Source organism: Homo sapiens, chromosome 18, assembly GCF_000001405.40.
Source record: "Homo sapiens chromosome 18, GRCh38.p14 Primary Assembly".
Classification (NCBI taxonomy): Eukaryota; Metazoa; Chordata; class Mammalia; order Primates; family Hominidae; genus Homo; species Homo sapiens.
Window position 1 is genome coordinate 71,197,531 of NC_000018.10, and position 12,976 is coordinate 71,210,506.

At 36.7% G+C, this 12,976-nt stretch overlaps 1 long non-coding RNA gene across 1 annotated transcript; it reads left to right on the forward strand.

Moving 5' to 3' along the window:
- Nucleotides 1-407: 407 nt before the first annotated feature.
- Nucleotides 408-10,836, forward strand: LOC105372188 (uncharacterized). The gene is made up of 4 exons (XR_935610.4): nt 408-570; nt 1,853-1,990; nt 4,880-4,972; nt 5,702-10,836. It is a non-coding gene; the product is annotated as an uncharacterized LOC105372188 (long non-coding RNA).
- The last annotated feature ends 2,140 nt before the right edge of the window (nt 10,837-12,976 follow it).

Below are 12,976 nucleotides of genomic sequence, written 5' to 3' on the forward strand. Positions count from 1 at the left end.
CCTCCTGGGTTCAAGCAATTCTCCTGCCTCAACCTCTCGAGTAGCTGGGATTACAGGCGCCACCATGCTGGCTAATTTTTGTATTTTTAGTAGAGATGGGGTTTCACCATGTTGGGCAGGCTGGTGTCGAACTCCTGACCTTGTGATCCACCCACCTCAGCCTCCCAAAGTTCTGGGATGACAGCCTCCCAAAGTTCTGGGATTACAGGTTGCATAAGCCACCACCCTGGCCAGTGGGTTTCATATATATATATATATATATATAATGGTGTGATTACAGGAAGAAATTAATTCTACTTTATATTGTTTACTGTATTCTCCATTGTCCCAAAGCAGAAAGTGTGAGCTTTACATACATTGTAATTATGGATGCTTTTGTGTTTTTATTACTTCCAAAATTTTTCTAGGGAAACAGGTGAATATTTCTTCAATGTCAACTCAAGCAAAATTGGGAGCAAGTGATACACACCCATTTAAAAACCAAGCTGAGAATGGAGTTTTACCTCTTCCCAAAATATCAAACAGAGGAAATTAGAAAGGAGACTCTTCTGACAGAACTTACCCCTGAGAGTAAGAAAACACCTTTCTTTATAGCCAACTACTTACCAATTTATGCAGAATAAGATACTGAGTTTAAACTTGCCTAAATCGTAGAATAATCTTAAATAATGAGAGACATTTTTCTAGACCTCCATTGCTAAATTATCAACTTTGGCTTTGATTCAACATTTCTTGTTACAAAGGCAGTATTAAGAGGATTTTGTCTTGGAAAAAAAATATATATATATTTATATATATTTTATATATTATTATATATTTATATATATTTTATATATTATTATATATTTATATATATTTTATATATTATATATTTATATATATTTTGTATATATTATATATATTTATATATATAATATATATTTATATATTTTATATATATTATATATATTATTTTATATATTTATATATATTTTATATATATTATATATATATTTATATATATATAAAATATATATATATATATAAATAATATATATAATATATATGGACATCAGTGGCCCAAACTGGGACTTTGTTTTTTTTTTTTTTTAAAAAAAAGAAGAAACAATTGGTTGTGAAGGGACTGCTAGAAGTGAAGGAGAACAAAGCTCTGCTTCCAGTTTGTTTTCTGAGAGCTGGTACATCCATTATTCTTTGGAATAACGGAAGATGATCCATTCTAATGGAAGAGTAGAGTTTGAGTTCTTCAGAGCCATGCCTGAGGAAACCCAAGACAGACTGCATTGAAATGGCCCACACTGGGCTGGATGAGGGGCCTCTTGTACAGAGATCACGATGTGCTGAAGACTAGTTTTTCCACCCATTTCTGAGACACATAGTTCTCTTTCCCCAGACTTCTAGTGGATTTGGTGCTCATACACAACTGAGATTGTGAGACCTTATGATCAGAAATAATATGACTTAGAAAAGTAAAATAATGTGGTATTTCTAATAATGTGATATTTCTATCTCCTTAGTGTTTGGCAGAGTAAAATAAATACTAATTATAACTTCTATTAGGGTTTGATCAGAGAGCTATGACTCTATGAATGACACACAATAAGCAATTTATTATAGGAATTAGATGTTATGTGATTGTGCGCTGGTTAAGAAGTCTATGCAAAGCAATTGACCTAGTATCTGACTGCAAGGCTGTTACAGGTAACAGGTGACAGGTTGCAGGTAAGCCAGGTTGGCAGCTGAGACATGCAGTGAGTCCTAAAAATCACACGCACTGAAACCTATTAAGATGAATTAAAATCGATAAGAACAAACTGAAACTTACATGAATTTCTCACCATCTTCAACCCAGGTGATGTCGATGAGCTACAGGAGAAGCTGGCAGCTTTCCCCACAGAGTTGGACACACACAGGCTCAGGACTCAGAAGTGAAGAAAGATTCCGTGGGGTTGGAAGAGCTGCAGGCCTGGATGAAGTCCCCAGAAACAAGGTGAGTGGGCAGAATGTATGTGAGCTGTTCTAGGGTCCAACCCCCTACACTGAACTTTAGTGTGTGAAACTAACATTTGGTGACAAGCAGAGCCCCAGGCAAAAATGTTGCTAGTGGATTACCAGAAGTAATAGAGAGAAGGACCACTCTTTGTTTCTACCCCTTAATATCTAGATCCTCAGACTATGGCTATGGGGGAAACATTGTATAGCTTTTGCTGACTTAGAGCATGCTCCACTTCCTGGACAACATTATTCCAAGCTCACAAACTGTTTCCACTAGCTAGCATGGTAACCAAGTCTTTAGAAGTCCGTTCCACTAATATATCAGGTCAGCTACATGAAGGTGATTTATTGGAGACATAAGACCAATGAATTTCGTGCGCTGGGCCCCATTTTTTTTTTTTTTTTTTACTTCATTTGCTGAAAATCTAGTTCCTTGGTCAGAAGCAATACTATGAGTAATATCAAGATAAAGACATTCTGTAATTTCAAGGATGACAGTTTTAGCAGAATCATAGTGGATAGATAGAGAAGGAAAATCACATCCAGAGAAAGTGTCTATGTTAGTGAAAGCAAAGATTTGCCCCTTTCATGATGGAAATGGTCCAATATAATCAGCCTGCGGCCAGAGGCTGGCTGAACCCCTCCCCCAACCCCTTCCCATGGGAAATGTTGTTTTATTGAAACTTAGTGGTGTCTTATTGGCAAATTAGGTTTCAACATTGGCTGCAACTAGATTGGCTGGGTGCGTGGAAGTCCATGTTTCTGAATCCATGTTATTTCCCTACCCATCACACAATGGCCACTTTTATAACAATCCTATTGGGCAAACATAGGATGTTTCCAGAAACAATGAAAACTGGCATCAAAAAATATGTCATCTGGCCAGGCATGGTGGGTAGCTCATGCCTGTTATTCCAGCACGTTGGGAGGCTGAGGCGGGCAAATCACCTGAGGTCAGGAGTTCAAGACCAGCCTGGCCAACATGGTGAAACCCTGTCTGTACTAAAAACACAAAAATTAGCCAGGCTTGGTGGTAGGCGCCTGTAATCCCAGCTACATGGGAGGCTGAGGCATGAGAATCGCTTGAACTCAGGAGGAAGAGGTTGCAATGAGCCGAGATCGTGGCACTGCACTGCAGCCTTGCTGACAGAACGAGACTTCGTTAGAAAAAAAAAAAAGTCATCTGGTCCTTTTGATTATTATGCTGATCCTCTGTTCAAATTTCTCCTTGGTAAGAATTTGCACAGGGCACAAATGTATTCAGGTTTCCTTTCAATTCAGAGTTCTATTCTCATCCTTCTTTCTGGGGCCTTCTTGTTAACAATTTTCTGATGGTAATTTTCAATTCCCTTTTCACTCATTACCAAACCGTTAGCTACTGCATGAGCATCCATGTAGATGGTTCCTCTGCCCATGCCTCCTTGAAGGCAAAGTGAATGACCAGGTACGCACCAGGTTCTGTCCACCAGGAAGTGCCCTGTATTGAGCACTGCCTGGAGTGGGGCTGTAGCACTTCAACTTTCTACCTGGAGTTACTGTAAGCATATCATGTTGCATTTTCTGCAAATAGGCTCAATTTTGCTTCACCTGTAAACTGTTTATATAGTTATTTACTTACAGGTTGGTAACAGGTATACAGGTCATGGGCATATGAACAATTTAGTCATGCAACTTATTGTATCTTTAGGACAAGCTAGAGCTGAATTAGCATATTATACTTTCATTTGATAAGGAGTCTGGGTTATTTCTCTATGGAGCTAAAAAACACTTGGTCCAAGATTCAGAGAATATGTGTAGTGAGACAGAATGGGAGTTGGAGAAGCTATGGCCCATGCCAACAAGGTGAAATAGCAGATCTGTGACAGTGACATGAGCTACCACAATGCATGGCACTCTGTGCAGACCTTCACAACATTAACAAATTGCTTTTCATGTTTACTATGTTTTATTTCTTTGGTATATTACATGTAAGTTGCTGCTGCATTTGTTTCTTTCTAAATATTTTCTTTCTCAATTTTCTTTATAAAACCATTTCCACTTTCCAAGAAGAGGCCAATGTTATATGCATCAGATATTCCACTGCCGTGCCATTATCGTGGTAGATTGCAAGACCCAGTGCTGTATAGAATGTTATTGACAGCAAAATACCACACAGTGTCTCCCAAAAGATGAATGCTAGTTTTCCTTTAGCCAAAAGCAAAGTGGAGGGATTCGATTTCCAGAAATAACATCTGAAGTCCTCAACAGAATAAATTTCTCCAAGGCAATACATATTGCAGTAAATTTCTGCCATACTGAATGCCAAAATAGGTTATCTTCCGGGGACTTAAACCATACAAGTCTGCCTGTCAGACTGTTGTCAGCAATAAATAGGTCCTCACTGCCCTTTAATACATATTCAATATGGCAGGATGGTAAACCAAACTCCTGCTTGCCCTACCCAAGAATTTCAGCACTGAAAGGAACAATAGGAATTTTCAACCTCAAGCCTCTCATTTTCAGTTGGAAAACTGAGACTCATCAAAGTGAAACGGTTTGCTCAGCATTAGCTAGGAAGGAATCACACCTGGAAGTGAAATGCTGCACCCCGTAGGCTGAATTCAGGGTAACTTTTATTTCACAGAATGAGTTGTGCCCTATTATGCTGATTCTATGGGCACAATTAGAAATCAAAGAAAAACCAGTTTTGGAAAGTGGAGAGGATAGAAATGACTAATCATCTTTCTTCGTTTTGGAGGGCAATAACAGCATTTTCTAGGCCTTTGATGGTTGAGCAGGGTCACTGGATTTGTCCTGGCTGATAGATTGTGAAAGGAAGGGACCCGCAGCACATTCAGACTGAGCAGTAAAGGGCTTCTCTAGCTTCTTTCTTCTCCTGCCACAGTGACCGTGGAAACATCCTGCTGAGATGGAGAAACTGTGACTCGCTCTGTCTGCATCCCTGAGCTTTCACCTGGAAAAGGCACTGACCTTGTGTGTGAGTAAAAAATAAATGTCTGTTTTGTTATACCACCAAGATTTGAGGGTTTGGTTATTTGTTATAGCACTGTACACTATTTTACCCTGACTAATATATTTTAAAGTATGCTTATATTAAAAACGAAGTGATATATAGAGACTTGGCAGAATGACTAATGAAGAGTTGCCAGTTGTTCTAATTTTGTCAACGATCAGCTTACTTTCAATGCATTAAGTGCTCTAAGCACAGGAAATATATCCCTGATGATAGTATATGTTGGATATAGTGTATTTACTTATTGAATATTTATTTAGAATATGCTGGAGATTTTATAGAAAAGTGAACATGAAATAATGATACTTCAGATTTTGTAAATGCTGAAGAGTGTAATTTTAATTCTACTCATTAAAGTTACCTCTCTTGCAAGTGTGGCTAAATTATATACCTTCTGCTTCTGGACATCACTTGGCCCAAATATCCCATCTTTTTTTCCAGATTTCAGCATAATATAACTCTGATGATTCTCTTTAGAATTGTACATTTGGGGATAGGCCTGCTATGAATGTCACAAGTAAATTCTCTAATAAAATAATAAGCACTTACACTATAGGAATAATCTGCTTGGTTGAGAATCATTAGAGCCTACCAATCTGCAATTATTATTTTCACTTAATTAGAGGACCTTAATGAATGCAAAATGTGTACTTTCCAAAGTATAAATGTAAAAACCTTTTTCTTATGCTTCAGGTCGAAGTCTGCAGACTTTCATTTTGGAGATATATTTCACTCTGAATAGTGAATCAGAGTGGGGTGAAACATCTGGCTTATAAAATGTTTCAAACCTCAAACCACTTTAGATACTTGGAAATCATCTTCTCCACACATTTATTATAAAACAGGAAGAGACCCAGAAAAAATGCCACTCTGTTTTGAAGATGGAAAGTAAGTGTCATTGATGTAAAATTCTTGGATTTCTTTTGTGTAGTTGTAGACTGTGATTGCCAGTATATGGTCCACAAAGTTGTTGGTCATTTTGTAAATTTAAAATTTGCCAGTTAGGCCTAAAAATCATCTCCCACATGTGATGGCAAGCCTAGAGGTGGTCGGCCCATGCTTGCCCCTTTTGTCTCTCTGCTCAGCCAGCTTAGTCTGTGCTGTCCACCCCCATGCTGATCACCAAATGGTCACTCTGTGGTGCTCCAGTTCCACCTCTCAGCTGTGTTCCAGGCAGGAAGAAAGACAAGAGCAAAACTGCATTCAGTAGAGCATGCCCACTTTGAGAGAGAGCTCGTGCAGAAGCTGGCCAGGGCAGCATCTTGCCTCTTCTTTACATTAGATCACTGGCTCCCAGCAGCAGCACCAGCTACAGAGCCTCTTGCTCCCTTCCTTCCTTGTTCTCCTCTGTCTCTATGTGTATGTGTGTGCATACATATTTATAGACACACACACATACACACAAAATACTATATTATGTCATATAGTTTTCTGAATGTGTTGGTACCCTGAATGATATATGTTGGTAGGAAAAGAGGAAAGTGTAGACATTTATGGGCAGCCGACTTTACCAGTTGGGCCTAGACTACCTAAAGATTATCAGTACAATTTATGCTCCAAGAAAGTAGTGTGCATATCTTCGTTACTGTAGTTCAAACACCTAGGAGAATACCTGGCTTATAGTTGGTACTAAGGACATATTTTCGAAGAAAGAAAGAGTCAGGGAATGCATACTTGTTTTAGGAAAGAGTGCTTTCAGCTTCTAACAAAGCCTAATTCCCTTTTCCTTCATTGTTCCTCTATTTCTTCGAACCAAACATATTGTATTGATCGACGATGGATGGTGACTATGAGTTTCTGCTTTCACTGGAGGTGGGGTGGGAGGTACACATCCAAACATGCTTAGCCTCCCTGGGTGGGTGGATCTGCGGATGAATGTTTCCATATCAAAATCTGAACTGACTACTTTCCCTTTGTAGTTTAAATTATTTCAACCACAGAGAGGAGCTGAATATTAAGTTAACTGTGTTCATCTGCCAGAAAAATTAAATATCAGTGTAGAAAATAATCTTAGCGTTCACTTAAACTGCCTTAACAGTTTTAAAAAGGCACTTAAATGTAGCAATCATATGTTTTGGTTTACCTGGAAGTTTCTGTTTGTTGCTTTTGAAGTAGCTTAATTATTCCTGTCTGAAGAGTCCTGGTTGGTGTGGTATTCAATGCTCATGCTACTCCAAGAGGGCCTGCTGATATTTACAGAGTCACAAAAGTCACCCATGATCTTTGACACTTGGTTTAATGATCTTCCCTCTATATTGTACTGGCAGTCTGCGTGCTTCCCTAAATGACTGTGCATGAAAATCATATTCAATTTTTTTTATTTTAATTGCTTGGGGGACACTTCCATAAAAATCTGGCTCAGTGTCTGGCTGGGGCATTTCCAGCAAGAACCCTGAGTGATTCTGGTGCAGGTGATACTGAGATCACAAACTGAATAACACTAAAATAAATGAAACGGGGCTTAAATTTTACAGCTCATGGAAGAGCTCATGAAAATTCTTAACAAGTAGAAACCTAGATGAAAATTTACTGCATGAAGCTAAAGACAAGTGTTTTCCTGATTAAAAAATCAAAAGCACAACATTTAAGTAAGAAGTATCCTGCTAATTCTCACCATGATAGTGCACATGCCTAATCTACTACATTGAAACATACATTTTATAAACTCTATGCCACTTGCATGGATAATTGATGTAATCGAATTGCACTGGAATTGGAATTTTCACTGCAGAATACCAGCTGTGGCTGCTGTCCAGGGGAGAACCCTGCTCCAAGTGCTCAACATTGGCTGCTGTAGTTCATGGAATATTTAATTGTCTGCTGAAAAATGAATTGCAATTAGCATTAACCAGCTTTTAAATATTTGCTTGCATTACAGTTTTTCCTTTTTATTTTGATGAAAAAGAAAAAAAATTAGAATGCTAAAGAATACAGAAGGCTTGGTTTATTTGAGAGTAATACAGACATGTTGTCCAGAACCATGCTAGTTGCTTTATTTTCTCTAATTTTTCAGACTAATGCCATGGGAGATACCCTCTCCATTATATTAAATAGAAAACTGAAACTCAGGCAGATAAAATAATAAATCCAAGTCCCCATTGAAAGTAAGAATTGAAAACCAAGACTATCTATGGCAAAATGTGATCTTCTCAACACTTACAGTGTCTTTATATCTTTGACTTCTCTTTTTCTGTCTCTCTTTATAGATTTATAACCTATTTCTCCATCCATCCATCCATCCATCCATCCATCCATCCATCCATCCATCCATCCATTTATCCATCCATCCATCCATCCATCCATCCATCCATCCATCCATCCATTTATCCATCCATCCATTTTTCCATCCATCCATCCATCCATCCATCTATCCATCCATCCACCCATACATCCATCCATCCATCCATCCAACTATCCATCCATCCCATTGCATGTTGTTTCCTATCTACATTCCTAACTCTGCCTATCATACAATTATTTGGCATTATCCTTTAATTGGCAATAGGGTTGCCAGCAGGTGTCCTGAAATTTTCCTATGCCAAAAGTTCTATTCTGTAAAGAGTAATAGACTTTTAAGGTGAGAAGGTTATTTTGAAGACTGATAAATATCTTTTCTGTTGTATGTGAGGAAATTTAGGCCCAGGGAAATTAAGCAACTTATTTACACTGGCATATTAAGTTATTGGCAGAGATTAAATATAATTAAGTCTTTTGACTCATAATTTATTTTTCCACCTGGAACTTTAGGTTAAAGGCTACTAGTTAAATATTGAATAAGCTCAAATATAACATTTCCAGGTAACCAAAAAAGGGAGAAAAAATCTATTCATAGAGTCGATTTGTTTTATAAGTTAATGCAAGGATTTTAAAAATCACATGGACTTACAAATTCCAGGATAAATACCTTCCTTTCTAGAGACTGACACTGCTGTGTAGAACACAAGGCAGCATTTCTGAATGAAATTGGCCTATTTATAAGGTTTGCCTCCAGTAGATTCTGCTAAACCTATGGTGTCAGCCAGATGCAGTGACTCATGCCTATAATCCCAGTACTTCAGGAGGCCGAGGAGGGAGGATCACTTGAACCCAGGAGTTGAAGATCAGCCTGGACAACATAAAGACACTTCTCTACAAAATAACAATAAAAATAATAATTTTAAAAGTAAGTAAAATAAAACCATGGTTTCTCTAGTGTTAGATTTGGATAAACCAACCCAAATAATATCTAGCAGTTCTTAGAGCTGTAACAATAGACTAACCATTGGTGTATCATAGACCATTCTTAAAATTTTCAAATGTCAGTACTGAATGGCATGGAACAGGAATAATATTTATCAGAGTATCTACTAGTGCCAGTCAACATGAAAATGCTTACATGTAATATTAATGCCAATCCTTACAACCATTTTCTAATTAAACAGATATCTTAGTAATTATAGAAATATTTTGTTACTTATTTTAAATTAGTGTTGTCATTTTACCAATTTTTAAACTAAGATTAAGAAGTGTTAACTTCCTTAAGCTCACATAAAGAGGATTACATGAAATACATTACCTGAAGAAAAATGTATTTCATTCTTGTATGAATCACAATATAGTAGAATATGGTAGAAAACATACTTATCACACAAAACAGCATGTTTGAAAAAAATAAATGTAATGGTTCAGGTTGCAGTTAATAATTGACTTAGACTAGTTTCACAGATAGTAAAATAGTTACGTTAACAATTTTAAAAGGATGGGTATGTTTTTGTTTCTTCCAGAAAATACTTCTCTGTGATTAAAATATTCAACTATATTCAAAATTCAAATATTTACCAAACTTCTAAAATATCCCACTGTGTTTAGCAATATAATAACTGCTGTGGGTTTTAAAAAAGAATCATGACTTAGGACTTTAATTAAGTTTGAAAAATCAGTGGAATCATCCATACTAATTTTTTTTACTCTTAAAAACTTTCAGAAAACTGACTTTATATCACCATATTTTAAACAACATCTTTTAGTGAAAGCATGTCTCATTCAGTGATCTAAAGCAAAGTGCATATAGATGAGGTGTGGAGGCAGATTGCCTGGGTTCAGATCCCAGTTCCGCCACTATTAGTACCTACCTTTGGGGTTTGTTGACATTAAGTGAGTTTAATCATGAAAAGCACTTAACATTTTGCATAAGAAATTGGCTAGCGTGTAAATATGAAACAAGTAGTAGTAATTATTAGTCAACAAAAACTTTATAATTGCAAGTTCTGAGGACTTTTTTTGGTGGAAAAGGGAGATTTTAATAAGTAAGGATGGTAAGGAAAATGTCCCATTTATTCTTGTGGTAATGTGTAATCTTTTCCTAATTAAAATGAGTGTTTATCATCAGACACCAACTTGACAGACAAACCACAGAGTAACAGGAAAACAGCTGAGTGATGTAGGAAAGTTAACTTGCCCCTCTGCCTGGAAACAAATACAACATTGGACATCAGAGAGTGCCAGAGAGACCATCTTCCCATCTCAGGATAGGCACCTAACCCAAGAAATAGTTTACTATTCTAGACAGAGAATCTATCACCTCCCCCGACAACTTACTCCAACATTTAATCCCCTGACTGTGGGAGTCAAAAATTCAATTTAGAAACAAAAATTTAATTTAACTCTAGAAAGAGAATTTCACATTTTTGCCTGAAACGCTTAGCAATTGTGAGATCAATGTTTTATGAAGGCAGGATTGTAATTTATAATTTCATAATTATAATTTATAATTTCAACAAAGTAGGATTAAAGTAGGGTGGTATTATCAATATTTAACGTAGTTTTTAAAAATTTACCACACTTATCACTCATTTATTCAAACAATATCTTTTTTTTTTTTTTTTTTTGAGGCAGAGTCTCCTTCTGTTGCCCAGGCTGGAGTGCAGTGGTGCAATCTCAGCTCACTGCAAGCTCTGCCTCCCAGGTTCACACCATTCTCATGCCTCAGCCTCCCGAGTAGCTGGGACTACAGGTGCCCACCACCACGCCCGGCTAATTTTTTTGTATTTTTAGTAGAGACGGGGTTTCACTGTGTTAGCCAGGATGGTCTCGATCTCCTTACCTCGTGATCCACCCACCTTGGCCTCCCAAAATGCTGGGATTACAGGCTTGAGCCACCCCGCCCCGCCGCAATATTTATCTTGTATCTACTATACATCAAGAGCTATGGTGCCCTGTTTATACCTTGTCTAATTCTCTGGAGGCTATAAATGTTGTCATTTCTTTATTTTTAACTCTCCTAGTGATTAACTCCATAATTAGTAATATACCAGTGTTTGTTAAATTATGAAATTTAGATGTCATATAATGTTTACCAGCATAAAATATAAAAATTTAACTCAGTTTACTGATGAAAAGATACAGTCCTCACTTCTCAGATGACAAGGCACTGGGTATTATTTGATATTTACACATTTTACATTTTAATTGACTTTATAGTTATAAATTGATTTTATAATTTGAATATAAAATTTTATCCACTTTTTTTTAAAGAATTAAAGTGATTTGTAATATGTCTCCCTGTCCTATGAAAATAAACAATATTCTGTGGACTCAAAAGCCATTTGTAAATATCTGAACAATTTTGTTTCCTGTCTCAATGCATTTGTAATTTCACAAGTACATATTTGCACTATCCACATCACTTCTGCTTTTTTCGTTGTTGGATTATAGTCAATACTTTCTTCGCAAAGCTCTTCGAATTCCTATAAACTTTTCCTTTTTTTTTTTTTTTTTTGCGGGGGCGGGTGGAAGGATGAAGAGGTATTGCAACTCTATTGTCTGATTTGCTCAATGTAAAAATAAACTATCCATCTCACAGTAAAATTATATGATTGGTCTTTTTTGCCTTAGTTTTTTGTTTTAAAGTTATAGATGCCTACAATCTCTTTTTCACTATTTTTGAGCAATTTTCTTAAAAAATTCAACAACATTTGTTAGCTCCCTAAGTTTGACAATGTGCTCCGGGTCAGTGGCTGCAAAATGCTGGTCTCTAAATCAGTACTAGCCTGGGTTTGCAGGGTTATGGGGTACTGTAACAAAAATGTACATTTCCTATCACCACACATAACGTTCATATTCAGCATGTCTACAGTGGGGACATGGTGCAGTATTGCTACTATAGATTTAATGAGGGTAATAACTGCAATTTATAAAAGTAAAAATCAAGAAGGGTTTCTGGTAGAAGGCAGCCATCTTCCTTCCTCAGTCCTATGCACACCTTACCTTAATCACTAGGGACCACAATTATTACGGTTATTTCAGTTTTTTTTTCCCTCTCCTAGTAATTAATTTCATGATTATTAATAATATATTTATATCACTCTACTAAAATTGCTAACTTAAAATTTCACCTGTTGACTTGCAATCATGAAATACTTATGAGATATTATTTGATAGGAGAATGACTTTACCTCCTGGTAATAATGCTCCTTATTTATTATGGAAATCCACTTGTAACCATTTTTTTTTTTCCATATGGTTGGAATCGTATTTCCTCTAACCCGAGCTCCAGGAAACTACAACAACTATTAATACATTTTTGTGGCATGATTCAAGACTCCAGCCTGAGAATGGAGTGAACTCTGGAAAGCAGAGGAGTAGTATAGAAAGAAAATAGCCTGTTGTGATACAATTTGAGCCAAAAAATCATCTCTCAGTAACCTGAAATTCCACTTCAGACTTTGTTTATGAGCCCTTAAGTTGAAACAGACCCAAAAATCCCATTGACTGTTCTTTTGGATAAACATAGAAATTGATCTTTCTGATCTTAAAGCTTGAAGCCTACATTTGTTTTATGTGAGTTTCTTCCTCAGGAAAGGACCTTCAGCCCTCTCAAAAATGTATCAAATAACTGAAACTCATCAGATTACCACAACCAGACAATGAGATGTGGACCCCTCCATCATGATTGCTTCCATGCCCCTCCCTTGTTCCTTTTTTCTTATA